This window comes from Homo sapiens, chromosome 1 (assembly GCF_000001405.40).
Source record: "Homo sapiens chromosome 1, GRCh38.p14 Primary Assembly".
NCBI classification, from domain to species: domain Eukaryota; kingdom Metazoa; phylum Chordata; class Mammalia; order Primates; family Hominidae; genus Homo; species Homo sapiens.
Genome location: NC_000001.11, coordinates 176,719,865 through 176,737,271, shown reverse-complemented (window position 1 = coordinate 176,737,271; position 17,407 = coordinate 176,719,865). Strand labels below are relative to the sequence as shown.

Sequence of the window (17,407 nt, the reverse complement as noted above, 5' to 3'; positions counted from 1 at the left end):
TTGTTCTTTATTTGCTGGTAAATCTGAGCAATATATCTCTCTTCTCTGAGCCTAGGGTTTCTCTTTTCTGCTACTAAGAAATAGAGATGTTACCGACAGCTTGACTATGGCTATTAAATGAAATCAGGTAAAAATACATAGAATGGTCACTATTATTTAGTAAGAATTCAGTGTTCGATAATTTGTATTTCCAAAAAAAAAATTAGTGTATTTACAATGTAGGAAAAAGGTAAAAAAAATAAAAATTTAAAACTAAACATATATTTGTATATTTTAATATAGAGGGAATTATGATTTTCTGAAATGTATAGCCTAAAAAATTTCATATATGCTATTTTCAGTTGATACTTGTAGAAATGTGAACTGGTATTCCAAGATCTGCTTCCATGGAAATGATCAATATTGTAGGCTCTTGGTACAGAATATATCTCTACTTTATAAATTGAGTCTATGAAAAATACATTATACTTTAAAATAAATATATAATTTTTCTTGCAGGCTTTTCAGAAATTTAGTTTAAAATGTATTTATTAAAAATCTACTTTTGCTGTACATAAGGACATAGAAACTTCTAGAATTGGCACTGCAATTTAGAAATCCTTTCAGATTATTCATTATTTAAATATATTTATTTTTAAGTTGCTCTTTCCACAACCAAGTAACAAATATATATGTATATATGTGACTTTAATTTAAATATAAATATATTTATATATTTTATAAGATATATATTTAAAAATATATAAATATACATTTTAACATACATAAAATATATATAAATATATATTTTTACATATACATTTGTGACTTGGCTGTGGAAAGAGCAACCTTAAAAATATATTTAAATGAGGAATACATACATATATATAGAGAGAGAATACATTTTATACAGGAATACAAGGAATTGTACAAAAGAAATACATTTTATATATATATAGAGTCCAGACTATTTTTGCTTTATTAGAGATAAATAATGAATTTATTCTCCTAGACATGAAAGACAAGCAGAAACATCAGGAAGACAGTTTGACAGTAGGAAGCTGTATGCCTGTGTCACTTTTGCCACTGCAAGTATGACACTCTTCTGATCACTCCAAATGCATGCTTGTGAACAGCTGTCCTCTTAATGACAAAGCTCTCCTAAAAGACCCCTTAGGAGCTACTCAGATCTGAGATGTGCATCATTGATGCCCCATAAGAAAAAATCAAAGTGCTGGAAAGTCAAAAGAATTATTAGCTATATCTAACATTTTACTATTCGTTTTAACAAAGAGTTTACTTTCATATATTACATGCACAATGTAAAATTAATTTAAGCATGTCTCTTGCAAGGAAGAAAAACTTTAGCTAGATATCAGGTAGGAGACAAGTACTGTTAGAAAAGCAAGTGATTCTCAGGTCTGAGAATTGGTATCATGATAGAGGGATTGCTAGTGAAATTAGCTTAGTGAATTCATTACAAAATATTTTGAAACAAAGAGAAAATGAACAAAGGATGGGTAGACAGATAGAGATAGACAGACAGATAGATGATAGATAGATAGATAGATAGATAGATAGATAGATAGATAGATAGATAGATAGATAGATAGATTCTGAGAGATGGGAAAGCCAGTCTCACACACTCAGTTGATTTTTCATCCAAAGGCTGCATGTTAACTACGCAATCTAACCATTGGCCACTGGTGAAGGGTAAGATTGAAAGAAAGTGTCTCTGATGTAGAACTGTTTGGGCTTAAGAAATCCCCCTTCAATCTGCCTGCTGGGCACAGACACACTCAATATGCTCCCAAGCCAAGCATTTCAACTTCCAGGTCATCCTTTGTGGCGCTCACTGGATAGCAGATCCTGAAACTCTACCACAAACTTGAAAAGAATCTTCTCTGAGGTTTTAAAATGCTTTTGGTTACTGGATTGTTGTTTTCTTCTGTGCCTTTTCATTTTCACTCATCTATGGCACTTCCTGATTCCACAGGGAAACAGAAGACCTTAGACCAGAAGAAAAGTAGGCAGGCATCACCTTCTTTTTGTATAGCACTTCACAGTTTGCCAAGCCTGATTACAGGCTTTGCTGGTGGGTCCACTGCGCTCATTGTGATTTTATTCCTTTTTGATATTTTTGAACAACAGTAGCCTCAAGATATAAAGGATATATTACATAAGAGGAAACTAGGATTCTGAAAGCTTAAGTGGCTTTCCCTAGGTAAATGCTAGAGAGGAAGGAACTTGGTTTTTCCCAATTTAAGCTCTGTATTATGTTGACTGAACCAATGTTCTTAGTTTGGGGTAAGCAGGAAATCATAGATTAGAAAACTTATTGATGTTTGTGCTTTTACTCCCCCCAGAAATAAAGTCACATAATCTCTTAGTCATAAAAGCTTTACACAATTTTAAGGGGGCTGACAGACACTTTTAAAAGCCATTCGTGGTCCAATTAGAGGTTGAGAGAAATCAGATTAAGAATGCTTGCACTATTGATTGAACCACATTACTTTTTTATAGGTGAAGAATTATCAAATATTGGCAATTTCTTCTGGTTCAACCTAATACTATTGCTATCTGTGTGGACTTCTGAAATTTTGTCGAGGAAGAGTTTAATAATCAAAGTTTCAAGGGATCTTACCTGAAATCCAAATCTAATGGATGAAGGGGGGATATAAGGCACTGAGCTGCCATGGTTGTCTCCATGATTGAGGATGTGGGTCAAAATGGGTAGGTGTGGTTGGAGCCTGTTTTTACTTTCTTCTGATGTTTGAGCCCCTGCCCACCTTTGTATGGCTAAAACCCAGCTGATTTCCTGAGTTATTCCTTCATAGTATAAGAAAGGCTACAAACACATCATGAGTTTGTGTGTGTGTGTGTGTGTGTGTGTGTGTGTTTCAGAAGGGTGAGATCAACTCATAATTTTTTGAAATGAAGGGGGAACCACTATAATCCCACCCGAACTAGGGGTAGACATTCAACAATGTATGATTTGTCAAGTCCATGGAAGGGGGTTAGATCAGAATCAGACGACTGGCTGAATTCTTTCTGAGAGCATGTCCTCAAACTGTGATTTTAGACACCAAGGCTAAGTCTGCAGAGATTCTGTGTTAGAAGAGCTTATAGAACTTGGAAGGAGTGTCAGAAAGAGACAAAGTCAAATTTGTATTGGATACTGTGATGTGTCAGCTGCATCCCCTCTTTCATGACTCTGGCATTCAGCTCATTGGAAAGAATCTTTCCAGAAACTGCCCTCAGAGGGGGGAAAAAACCTCTCTATACAAGGACATGCCATTTTCTTGGAGTGGGAGGTGGAGTGGACAGGCAATGTCCAATAACCTTTTGGTTGGGGTGAGTGGTATACAGAGTGGGACAACTCTGAAGGGCCATCCCAGCTCTCTGTGGGATGCTGACACCTGCCGGGGGCTGTTTCAGTTCTCCTTTGTCTGTTCAATGCTAGTTCTTTCACTCCTCCACAGATCTTGCTCTGAGTCAGGTTCTCAATAAACTATCTGCTGGCAAATCCTCCTCTCAGTCTGAATCCTGGAGAAACCCATTTAAGACAAAGCCTGACATTGAGAAAAGGTGTTATGGAACATAGCTGGAGATGATTCTTTCAGGAACAAGAATGCATAAGCAAAGAAAGGAATGAGAGCATTCCCCGGCTGGGTAGGATTCTATCGTGGATAAAAAAACATTGCTATCCCAATTATTCATGTGTCTGTGAAGTTGCCATGTCTGGGACTGGAAAAAGCTTTCATGTAAAAATCAATAAAAAGATTAGTAACAATGAAACAGGAAAGAGGGAAATGAGTGCTTTACCCTCAGAATAAACTATTGACCCACTGAGAATTGGAGCTCCTCTGTCAGCGCACTCAGTTAGTTTTTGATGGAAATGAGATTCACGTACACACAGTCATCTGTGCTTTTGCAGGATTCCCACAAAATGCAGGGATCCACATAGATTCATTTTCCAAACAACAGAAGATTTTCTTCTGAAGCACAAGATCATTTTAGAAATTTCAATCATGGATATAGAAATAACTTAAATGCACCTTAGACAATTTTCTGCCTCCTCAAGTAGAGAATCCTGAAATTCAGCAGTCCCTAACCTTTTTAGCTCAAGGAACCTATTTTATGGAAGACAGTATTTCCACAGATGGGGGTGGAGGGAATGGAGGAGGATGGTTTCAGGATGAAACTGTTCCATCTCAGATCATCAGGCATTAGATTCTCATAAGGAGCCCACAACCTAGATCCCTTGCATGTGCAGTTCACAATAGGGTTTGCTCTCCTATGAGCACCTAATGCCACCGATCTGACAAGAGGTGGAGCTCAGGGGGGCAATATTCTTTCACCCAATTCTCACCTCCTGCTGTGTGGCCAGGTTCCTAACAGGCTACGGACCAGTACTGCTCCATAGCCTGAGGGTTGGGTATCTCTGCTGTACTTAACTGAATTTTCACTTAATGAATTGGAGACAATTTTAAATCATTTTGAACATCAATTATCTTACTAAATGCTAAGGTAACAGTCTTCTGAAGCAGTGCTCCTCAAACCTTAATATGCATACAGATCACCTGAGGATCTTGTGAAAATGCAGATTATGAGTTCCTAGAGCTGAGATCCTGCATTTCTAACTAGATTTCTGGTGATGCCAATGTTTCTGCATGCCAACCACATTTTGAGTAACAAGACTTTAAAGCTATTAATAGATATAATTATCTTTGCCTTTAGCACTTAGTAGTCTAAGATTGTAATACTTTCATTCACCATATTTGCTTATTATCTTCTTTTATGAACTCACCATCAAGCTTAAACTTAAATGCAGATCCGAAAGAAATCATCCAATCCAAATGCATCATTTGAAACAAATTTGAATAGAAAACTAATGCCCAGAGAGGTAATATGATTTTTATAAGGTCACTTAACTGGTTAATGGTAAAAACAAGGCTTACATTACTGGTCTTCTGAGTGTATATTTTCTCCCAGTTTCTAAATCCCTACTAATTTGTTGCTCCTTTTATAAAACAGACTGCAAATTCAGATAACAAATACTGTTAGAATTCAATGTAAAGTCAACAGCTCTAACAAAGGATCTTGTCAACTTTCCTATAAACACAGTCAAATAATCCAAAGTAGTGATTGGACTTGGTGCCATCTGTACATGGGCTTTTTCTTTTTTTGCTAAATTATGAAATCTGGACAGTTTCCTGGGTGGTTGAAGTCATCTCTGAATAAGTGATTAGCATCTGACTAATTATATTTTTTAAATTATAAACTATTTTGCCAGATTTAGCCAAAACAAACCAAAACACAGTATGGGCACTTGAATTTGACTATCTGATAAACAATGAGGTTTAAATATGCCCAAATATTGCATGGAGATACCCATACTAAAGAAAAAAAATTCATTGTTTATCTAAAATTTAAATTGAAATGGTTGTTCTATTTTTTTCTGCAACCCAAAGTTGAAAAGATGTAAGAATGTACAATAAACTTGATTGTGGCAATCATTTCACAATGTGTATGCGTATATATATGTACGCATGTATATGTACACATATATGTGTGTATATATACACATATATGTACACATATATGTATATATACACATATATGTACACACACACATATGTATATATACACATATAAATATATCTCAAAGTATTACATTATGCCGGGCATGGTGGCTCACTTCTGTAATTCCAGCACTTTAGGAGGTTGAGGCTGGCAGATCATTTGAGGTCAGGAGTTTGAGACCAGTCTGGCCAACATGGTGAAACCCCGTCTCTACTGAAAATACAAAGAAAAGAAAAAAAATTAGCTGGGCATGGTGGGGCACACCTATAATCCCAGCTACTAGGGAGACTGAGAAAAGAGAATTGCTTGAACCCAGGAGATGGGGGTTGCAGCGAGCCAAGATTACACCACTGCACTCCAACCTGGGCAACAAAGTGAGACTCCGTCTCAAAATTATATATATTTACAGTGTACAACGTGTGTGTGTGTGTGTGGTTTTGTCAGTTATAAGAAAATAAAAAATGAAACACATCAACTTAAAAAATTCACAATAAGGAAAACAAAAATGAACAGAGAAAAGAAAGAAGTATAAGGAACACAAATTTAAAAAGGAAAAGAGCAATAGAGAAAAGGATCTTGTGGATGTTTATGTATAAAAACAAAAATAGAGATAAAATTGGTAAAAGTGGTAGACACTTTTTGGCCAGTGAATGATACTGGGCACACATTTTTACCTTGGACTGGCCCTTAATTCCTGAATAAATAAAGACTCACTATTTAAGTACTTCCTAATAAAATGTAGGGCCAAGAAAAGGAGAAAAAAATATCTAATAAAGACACAGCTGGCACAATAAAAGTTATTATGCCCTGAAAAATAAGTGCTAGAAACAAACAAAATGCTATTAAAAATCCAAGGTTTTAAAAAGAAATTATAAGAGCATTACAAAATACTTACGACTGAATGACAATAAAATCCTTATATGTCACAATTTATGGGGCACAATTAAAGTAGTACTTAGAGGGGAAAATTATGGAACACCTAAAACAAATTAGCCAAACATTTCAACACCAAAACCTAGAAAAAGAACATCAGTGTAAATCCAGACAAACAAAAAGCCAGGAAATAATGAAGATAAGAGTAGAAATCAACGAAATACAAAAAAAAAACAAAAAACAAAAACGAGAACAAAACGAGAGATGAATGAAAGTAAAAGTTGTACTTTGAAGACACTGATAAGCCAGACAAACCCCATGCATGCGTAATCAAGAAAAAGAGAAAAAGAAGGTTCAAAAATATACACAAGAAAGGATGTAACAACTACAGCTAAAATAGAGTTGAAATATAATAAAAACACATTATGAACAAATATCAGCACTAAATTTGCATATATGGAAGAAATTAATAAATTTCTGGAAATAACAAAAAATTCAAAATTGGAAAAAATAGAAAAAAATAAGACATTAATAAAAATCAAATAAATTTAAGTGACAGTCATAAGTATTCTCTCAGTTAAGCCCCATACCAGTTGGTTTTACAGGTAGGCTCTGCCAAATTTTGAAGAAACAGATCATCCTTATTTTATACAAGTGGCTCCAGAAAATAAAAAAAGAAAATTGTACAAGCAATTATATGAGGCTTCTATAATTGGAATATTCAAAAAATGAATATATAAAATAATTCTACATGCAAAAGTCAAAAATAAAAGATTACCCAATAAAATCCAACAATACGTTTAAAATATACAATAAGTATGTAGTCTTGCTTCACGAAGGCAAAAATGATTTGACAACTAAAAAGAAAAATCTACCAAGGCTATTTAACATAATTATGAATCAAAGGAGAAAAATCACAAGTTCATATCAATTAATACAAATCAAGGGGTTAATTAAGTTCAGACCATATGTACAAGTATGTTTTTCAAGAGGCAGAAAAAATGACTTAAGGCTTGTTCTAAAATTTCAAATCTAAAATTGGCTGGTTTTAATATTTTTTCTCAACAAGGAGTATAGGTAGCAAGTTCTTGAATTTTGTGTGTGTGTTTAATAATGACTTCTTGGCCATGCACAATGGCACACAAATAACGAGTAAGTGTTCATGAATAATGAATAGTTCATTCAATTTTGAATTTGTCTGCTCTTGCTTCTCTAGTTCTTCTAATTGCGATGTTAGGGTGTCGATTTTAGATCTTTTCTGCTTTCTCTTGTGGGCATTTAGTGCTATAAATTTCCCTCTACACACTGCTTTAAATGTGTCCCAGAGATTCTGGTACATTGTGTCTTCATTCTCATTGGTTTCAAAGCTAATTCAGTTTTGAAAAAGACGTATAAGGAAGTGGGAGAGGGGACATGTCCTGCTAGCTATGTTTATATGGTTAAAGCTATAGTAATAAAAACAGTGTATTGCTGGTAAAGGAAACAGATGAAAAGACCAATGGAATATAAAAGAGAGTTAAAAATTAGAATCACGTAATGTCTAGAACTTGGTTATAATCAACTCGAGACTACAATCATTAGGACAAGGGTGGATGCTTTAACAGACGATATTAGAAAAATTGGATTATACATGTATTTAAAAGTAGATCCCTGTCTTATTCTGTATACAAAAACAAATGTTGAATATATTAAAGGCTAAAGTTTGACAGGCAAAAGTATAAAACTAATTTAAAAACGAAAAGGTATCTTTGCAATCTTAGCAAAAACTAATAATTAAAGAGAAAAAAACCTAAATGCTTGATAATTATTATGTAAAGGATGCTATACCCCATTAATAATTAGAAAAATGAAAAACATAACAAAAGTAAGATACCACATTTTTCCCATCATCTTAATTAAATAGAGATAATTGGGTAATATCGGGTTTGGGCAACAATATGTGGAAATGATGTACTAGTCTCATTGCCTTTAAAGTATTATGTTTAAGGTTAAGTCTACATTTATGTATATATGTTTGGGCATACTTCTGAACTTCCCTGTTCCATTAATCTGTTTATTTATATATAGCACCTTGATGTGTTAATGACTATAATTTTATGATGTATTTTAATATCTGATAAGGCCAGGCCTCCATTACTCATCTTTTTCAGAATCTCCACACACAAAAAAATTAAAATCAACTGTATAATTCTTTTGAATATCTTGTTTGGATTTTATTGGGATTATGGGAAATTTAAAATTTAGGGAGAATCAGCATTCGTATGATATTGAGTCTTTCTATACAGGACCAGTTTGTGCCTCTTCATTTATTCAAGCCCTCATGGTATCTCTCAGTAGCATTTCTTCATAGAGATATTTCAAATTTCTTTTTAGTTTTATTTCTAGTTATTTTACCATTTTTATTGCTACTGAGATACTTTCATTTTTGTTGGTGATTGTTTAAATTAGTCAGCACATTTATTTTCACCTTAATTTTGTATTAAACTGTGATACTAAGTGAAATAATTTTCAGGTTGTTCTCTTTTCAATGCTAACTAAAATTTTACTTCCTTCTTTCATATTTTATGTTTAACTTCTTTTATATCTCATAAAGTATAAAATCAAAAGTCTAACTGCACTGGCTTCTATTTCCAGAGAAAGTAAAATAATAGTAATGATATTGAAGTTTTTCTATTTTACTAATTTCTGCTCTTTGTGATTTTCCTTTTTATTTTAATTGATTTTAATTTGATCTTTTTCTACTTATTTAAGGTAGAAACTCTGATTGTTGATCTTATTTTGATTCTTTCCTAAATATAGGCATTTTAAATGCTATAAATTTCCCTGTAAGTACTTTTTTTAATTGCATCCACAAATTTCAATTTTGTTTCATTATAATTCAGCTCAAAATATTTTCTAATTTCCTCCATACAATCTTCTTTGGCCTGTGAATTATTTAGCCATGTATTGCTTAATTTGGGAATGACCTAGATATCTTGCTACTAATTTGTCTGTATGCTTCAAACATTACAAATTCATTGAGACTTGTTTTATGGTCTAGTATATGGTCTGTCTTGGTGAAGTACCATGAGCATTCTACAGTTGTTTTGAGTGTAGTGTTTCTACAAATGTGAGTTAGGTCATGATATTTGATAATGATCTTCAAATCTTATATATCTGTTTTGATTTTTTGGCCTACTTATTAAATGAATTACTAACAGATAGGTGAAAAAAATCCCCAACTATGATTATAAATTTGGCTGTTTGCTCATTAGTTCTGTCAATTTATAATTCATTTCTTTTGAGCCTCTGTTCTTAAGTGCTTCAATTTATAACAAGATTATTATGTCTATTTTAGAAATTAACCTATTTATCATTATGAAATATGCTCCTTTATCTCTGGTAACACACTGTATTGAAATCTATTTTGTCAGATATTAACATGGCACATCAACTTTCTTATGTTTAGGATATACATGGTACATAATTTTTCACCCTTTTGTTTGATGTACATGTCTTTTTATTTGAAGTGTGTTTTTCATAAACAGTTTTGTAACTGGTTCTTTTTATATGACAATTTCTGCCTTTTGCATGGAGTTTTTAGATAATTTAAATAATGTAATTAATGATATAGGTGGGTTTAAGTCTACCATCTTGGTATTTATTTTCTGTTGTTTCCAACAATTATTCATTTCTTAGTTCCTCTTTTCCTGCCTTCTTTGAATCCATTTATTTTATTATTCCATTAATCTTCTCTTTGACTTTTCCTCTACAGTTATTTGTGCATATGTGTATTTTTATTCTAGAGATTACAATATGCATCTCTAGCTTATTGCAATCTACTTCCAAAAAATATTACTATCTCATGAATAATGTTAGGACCTTACAGAAGTACTACTCTACTTTGAACCGCCTTGTCCTTTGTGGTCATATATATTATTTCTCCACAGAAGGAGTCAGCTGAGTCTAACATTAAGGCTGCTCAACTTCCTTTTTTACCCACTTACGCTTCTTTCCATTCTCGCTCACAGATGGTGATCCCTAGACCACTCCTTAGTAAATGGCCTGTATACCAAATTCCATCTCAGAATATGTATTTCCTAGAGAATCCAAATCCAACCTGCCACAAACAAAGATAATCACAAATTCTCCTCATCCTTGAAAAATTCCCTTTGATGTGATTTCCACTCGAACTGCAGCCCATCTTTTAAAAGGCTTTTCAAGAAGAGGTGGTTTGCCACTATTTCTGGCCTCAGAAGAAATGGTAGTGGCCATTCTCTTTTCAGTCTAGACCAGTGTACAGTCCTACTTATTTACCTCTATTCTGTGTCATAAAAGATATTATCAATATGCTCCCCATTGCCAAGGCTAAGACTTAATATCTCGTCATTTATTCATGCATTCACCAGTTTTGAACACTACAATAAGCAGGCTCTGCACTCAGTGTTGAACATACAATCTTGACTACACATGGCCTCTGTCCCGAGATCCTTACAGTTCACAGGATGAAGAGATAGGTAAACAAGAACAGTGGAGTATACAGGGACTTTGAGAGAAGTGTGTATCAAGGATGAAGTGATCAATTATACCACCTGGGGCTCAGGAGAAGAGTTTAGAAAGGGTTAGGTTCTATAATAGAAATAATCCTTGAGCTAAATGACAGAAGTAGAAGGTAAGTTTGTATTTCTTGGGGAGACATAATGAGTAAATCATTTACAGAGAAGGAAAAAAATATAAGTTTCCCACCAGGAATGTTATAGAGAAGTGAAAACTCTGGCCGGGCGCGGTGGCTCACGCCTGTAATCCCAGCACTTTGGGAGGCCGAGGCGGGCGGATCACGAGGTCAGGAAATCGAGACCATCCTGGCTAACACGGTGAAACTCCGTCTCTACTAAAAATACAAAACAATTAGCCAGGCGTGATGGCGGGCACCTGTAGTCCCAGCTACTAGGGAGAGTGAGGCGGGAGAACGTGTGAACCCGGGAGGCGGAGCTTGCAGTGAGCCGAGATTGTGCCACTGCACTCCAGCCTGGGCGACAGAGCGAGACTCCGTCTCAAAAAAAAGAAAAGAAAACTCTGACATATTTCAGCACTAAAATAAATCTGTTATGATTAAAATGACTAAACCCGTGAGTGTGTGTGTGCGCGCGCGTGCGTGTGTGTGTAACCGGGTGTGGAAGATGTGATAAATGAAATAATTCAGCCTGAGATAATGCTTATCTCTATCTCCTTATGTCCAATCAGTTACCAGGTTCTTTCAAGTCTATTTTTCACTTTACTGTATCTGTAGCACATGACTTACAACTTTGTGTCTTCTATCATATTTTTGTAAACATGCCCACTGCTATGTATGTACCTTAAGGGTGAAGATGGTAATTCATTCATCTTTGGATCCCTCCATATCACAATATATTGTTCATATGAGGCATTGTTTACTAAGTAGAATTAAAAGTGAATGTTGTCATGGTGTGGAAATAAAGCAAACACTAGTAAATATCTTTAATATTTACTGGAAACATGATATAGAATAGATATTAGCACACTATTGTCCACAAGCCAAATCTGACCCACTGCCTGTTTTTGTACAGCCTGTGAGCTAAGAAGAGTTTTTGCATTTTTGAATGGTTAAAAAAACTTTAAACATGAATAATATGAAAATTATATGAAATTCAAACTTCCGAGTTCATAAATATAATTTCGTTGAGATATAGTTATGCTTGTTCATTTACATATTGACTATGGCTATGTTCATGCTAACGGAAGTAGTAGTTAAGTAGTTGTGACACAGACTGAATGGCCCATAAACCCTAAAGTAGTTTTTTAATCTGCTTTCTTTATAGAAAATGTTTCCAAAACCCTGGTGTAGAGAGAAAGGACCATGAGTTTTTCCATAAACTGGATTTCAATTTTAATCCTATCTGTAGCTCTACTAGCCAGTGCTTAACATCTCTGAATTTTAAGATAATCATTTTTAGAATGAGAAAAATCATATCTCTAGTAAGAATTTGTATGAGAATTAATAATAAAATATCAGTAATAGAATAAATTTCAATCAATGCGTTTCTTCTTCTTTGACGCCTGGTGTTAGGGATTTTCATCTTTGAAATCCAATCAATTAAACATGTATTGCGTTTTCTGTTGAAGATTCACAGTCAGTGTTTGGAGAGTCGAACCCAAACAAAGGAAGAGAGGAAATTATGGTTAATAGGCTTTGGGCTTTATGTAGCAAGGGTTTCCAGGCAGTGGTCTGTAATTTATAACTGATGTGGAAGACACTGTGAGCATGTGGTGGTTGCTGTTGGGATTGCTAACCAGTCCAGCCTGAACGAGACCATTCCAAATTGCAGACATTTTAGAGGAGCCACGAAAATAAACATGAACATATGATTTTGCATATGTTGACGGGCTCCCTATGAAACCAAACAAGTACTTATTGAGTATCTGCTTCTCAAATTGCTTCATTTGTTGTCTATATTACTTAGATACAAAGGACTTTCTGGGAAGAATTATGCCTTCTGTTTCTTTCTCAATCCCCCAATGACACCAAGAGTTGACAATAAGTATTTAATAAATCCTGTGAACTAGATTAATAGATACACAGTCTTTCAAGAATTTAGAAGAAACACAGCAAAAGAAGATAAGGAAGCCTTTCCTCACAATCCAACATATGTTTTAATTTGTTTGCTTGCTCGTGCTATGTTTCTGTCTGTCACCAGTGCTTAATTCTGGTTTTGGCATATTATAGGTGCTTAGTGAATGCTAATTGAAGGAGGCAACATAGTATAGATGGATAAACATGGGATTAGAATCAAGAGGCATAAATGTGAGCGTCAGATTTATTATTTTATTCTTGAGTGATGTAGAAAAAGCACTTTGAGTCTTTGATTCTTATTTTACTCACCTGTAAAATTGGAAAACACCTACCTTGCCAAACTCACAAGGCTATAGTAGGGATCAAATGCAAATAGTGCATGAGAATGTACTTTGTAAACCATAAATGGCTATAAAATGTGCTTATTATGTAAATAATAAAAAAGACTCTACATTTTATTATATTTAAGAAAATTCTTACACTTTTGCTCTATTGGCTCAAGATTAGAAGAAAAGAAAAACTAAGAGTATTATTTCAGTAAATGTAGACTAAAATGATAGAATTTTTTTTGGGCAAGTAAGATTTTAGTCAATGAAAGATTTTTGGGAAGATATTTTCAAGACTAATGTTTGCCACTATCATTGTTTCTCACTTGCAGTAAATTTGTCTCTGAATTACTGCATACTAATCATATTTGTGTATCAAATCAAGATTAAAGTGTACTGAAAGGAAGAATAAAGAGTCAGAAATCCTATATTTCTCTGAAAGGTTTAAAAAAAAAAACCTAACCACCTTATCTTTAAAAATCACTTTCTAAATTATTTGGTGTTGTATTGATTTGTGAAGACTACATTTTCTTAACAGGTCTTATATATTAACTGAACTTTCAATTATATTAATAATTTTTTCTAATACAAAGACTATTACTCCTGGATGAGTTTTAGTATGAACTGGGTATGCTATAGCTTAAATGTAGTCCACAAAAGTTCATGTCTTGGAATTTTGCTTGCACTGTGCAAGAGACAGAGCCTTTCAAAGGCAATTGGGTCATGAGGACTCTGCTGTCATGAACAGATTAATGCCATTATCATGGGAGTAGTTCAGTTATCATAGGAGTGGCTTTTATATAAAAGTGAGCTCTGTCTCACATGCTCTCTTTTGCCCTACTACCCTGGTACCATGTTTTGATGCAGCAAGAAGGCTTTCACCCGATGTTGAGCAGATGCCAGCACCATGCTCTTAGACTTCTTAGTCTCCAGAACTATGAGCCAAACAAACTTATTTTCTTTATAAACTAACCAGTCTGTGGTATTCTGTTATACCATCAGAAGGCAGACTAAAACACGGTACACACCTGAAATGTAAGATGTAGCTAACTGACATATATTAAAGTAATTCCAGCTGGAGATTTCTATTTTCAGCTATTATAGAGTAGCGTGTAATACAACAAACTGTCCTGGCAAGAACAATCATAAAACATGAATTAAGTATACAAAAAAGTTTAAAAGCATTTGAGAGCAACCAAGTAGTCAGGACTTAAAAGTCTAATAATAATATAAAAAAGAACACATTGAAGGGAAACTAATATTCTGTGCTACTTTAGCCTTTGAGGTATTCTTCAAATCCTAAGCAATGCAAAATAACGGTATAAAAAGCCAAATAGAAATTGGCAATAGAGAGTCCAAAAAACTAAGAAGAGTTTTTAGCAGACACACTGCTGATGAAATAGAAATTGTACTTCAAAGACTGTCAATGTGGAGGTCCTAATCCAAGCTTTTAGTTGAGACCCCTGAAGAGCCAGGCCTTAGAAGAAAGAAAAAACTAAAAAAAAAAAAAAAAAAAAGGAAATGTATAAAGGCTCACAAAGCACAAGCTATCTTAATTACTTATTGAATTAAAGTGATCTTTCCCAAATCTTACCAAATGTCCAAAAAAAAAAAATCTTGAAAGGAAGATATTAGCCAGAGCCTCTACAATTTATTGTGTTTGATATTCACTTAAAACATTATCAGTATAATAGTAGAAATGCCCAAATAAATACGATGTTTTAAAGTCAACCTAAACAGACCCCTCCATCAAGATATTGGTGTTATCAGATGCAGACTTAAAAATGATTGTGATTAATATGTTTTTAAATAGACTGTAAGATGAAGAATTTCACAAAGAATATATAGGAAAAATTGAATAGGCATTCTAAAGTTAAAAATACAATAACAAAACTAAGGACTTAATAAATAGTTTAACTGCTGATTATATTGAGCAAAATTTGGGATTATTGAAACAGAAGATAGCTCAGTGTAAAATAATCAGACGACAGCATGAAAAAGAAGGGAATAACAAACAGAAGAACAGAAAAGTTAAAAAGATACACAAAAAAAGGTGTAATGTATGTATATTTGGCAACCAAGAAAAAAAAAAGTAAATGAGCAGAAGGAATACCTGAAAAAAATTTTTTTGAAACTAAGACACTAAGCCACAGATTGGAGAAGCTTGACAAACCAGACATATGCAAAGACAGGTAGGCCTTGGAACATCATAGAAAGACTGTTGAAGACAAAAGACAGAGAGAATATATTAAAAGCACCAGGGAATAAAAGACATGGCCTTCAAAGAAATATATATCAGATGTACAGCTAACTCTCCAAAATATGGAAGTGAAAAGATAACGGGATAACATCTTCCAAAGGATAAAAGAAAACAACTGGCTACCTAGAATTTTGTACCAAAGATATCATTTGAAAATGAATGCCAAATGAAAATATTTTAGCCACACAAAAACTGAAAGAACTCATTGCCAGCAGGCCCACATTAAGAGAAATAATAAAAGTGAATTTCCTCAAGCTAAACAAAAATAGTGGAAGCATAGAAATGTAGAAAGGATTAAAGAGCACTGGAGAGGGTAAATATTAGGGAATTTAAATTCATTTTACTTTAAAAATGCAGAGAGCAATAAATGCAGGAAAAGCATTCTAAGGTATCTTATTCATTATAAAATTGTGAGAGTATTAATTTATACCAGACTCTCAACAAGTTAGAATGCGTATTGCAACCTCAAGACTAACCACTTAGAAAATAAAAGTATAGCTCACTGTGATGGTAAATTTTAAATATCAACTTGACTGGGTTGAGGGATGCCTTGATGGCTGGTAAAGCATTATTTCTGGGTGTGTTTGTATGGTGTTTCTGGAGGAGACTGTCATGTGAGTCAGCAGACTGAGAGAGGAAGATCCACCCTCAGTGTGGATGAGTGCCATCTAATCAGCTGGGAGCCCAGATGGAACAAACAGGTGAAAGAAGGGGAGACTTTTCTTTCTTCCTCTTCCAGAGCAGGAAACTCTTTCTCTTTCCCCTTGGGCATCAGAACTCTGGGTTCTTAAGCCTTTGGACTCTGGGACTTGTACCAGCAGCTTCTTGGGGGCTCCTGAGCCTTTGGCCTCAGACAGAATTATGCCATTGGCTTCCTTGGTTCTGAGGCTTTTGGACTTGGACTGAGTCATGCTACCAGCATCCCAGGTCTCCCGCTTGCCGAGGGCCTATCATGAGACTTAATTGTGTGAACCAATTGCCCTCCCTAATTGTGTGAGCCATTCCCCTGATGAATACCCTCTTATTATCTATTTATATGTAGATACATCCTATTGTTTCTCTCTGGAGAACCCTAATACACTAACAAACTAATAGAATGAGAAATCACATAATCAAACTACATATTTAAAAAAAAGCAAGAAAGAGACAAATAAAGAGCATATAGAACAAATGAATAAGAAACGGTAAGTTGGTAAGTTTAAAACTGAACATTCTTAATTACATTAAACGTAATTGTACTAAGTTCTCCAACTAGAAAACAGAGAATTTTATATTGCACATATATATATAATATGTTGATAACAAACTAAGCATATTAAATATGATTACAAAGAAAAGTTAAAAGTAATAGGATGAAAGAAGACACAATACACAAATATAAAATGTTATTCAGTATAGGTATGGCTACAATAAGGTTATGGTAAAGCAAGAAGTATTGCTAGAGGGCTTTTAAAGTTAGTTTTAAAAGAGATAATTCACCTAAAAGATACAAAAATTCTAAAATTATATACTGACAGTTTCCAGTTTACACAGTTCCCATATGGATGAATATCGGTTATAACAATTTAGCTAACTAAAACCAGTCTCCCAAGAACACGATTCATATTTCAGTTTGCACAATATATTAATTTTAACTATATAAAGTACCAACTTCATTACTGGTCCTTCAATCCAAAAATCACCATGTGAATAACAAATGTGAATAATGATGGGTGACCAATCACATCATTTCGTTCAAAGTCTGTCACTGACTGGTCACTGGGTATCTGTTATTTCATTCACACAGAAACTAAAAAGTGTATACTTACGTTA

At 34.1% G+C, this 17,407-nt stretch overlaps 1 protein-coding gene across 6 annotated transcripts in view, besides 2 other annotated features; it reads right to left on the bottom strand.

Moving 5' to 3' along the window:
- PAPPA2 (pappalysin 2) overlaps positions 1–17,407 on the bottom strand; it is a 382,427-nt gene that overhangs the window by 108,330 nt on the left and 256,690 nt on the right. The window lies entirely within an intron of this gene.
- Positions 3,209–3,710: an enhancer, noted in NCBI's record as "NANOG hESC enhancer chr1:176702698-176703199 (GRCh37/hg19 assembly coordinates)". NCBI's record gives its function as "activates a minimal SCP1, AML or CMV promoter by ChIP-STARR-seq in naive H9 embryonic stem cells {active_cell/tissue: H9 hESC(naive)}" and the evidence as "EXISTENCE:reporter gene assay evidence [ECO:0000049][PMID:30033119]".
- Positions 11,290–11,510: a silencer, noted in NCBI's record as "fragment chr1:176694898-176695118 (GRCh37/hg19 assembly coordinates)". NCBI's record gives its function as "represses an EF-1alpha promoter that drives an FKBP-Casp9 reporter gene in an ReSE screen in K562 erythroleukemia cells {active_cell/tissue: K562}" and the evidence as "EXISTENCE:reporter gene assay evidence [ECO:0000049][PMID:32094911]".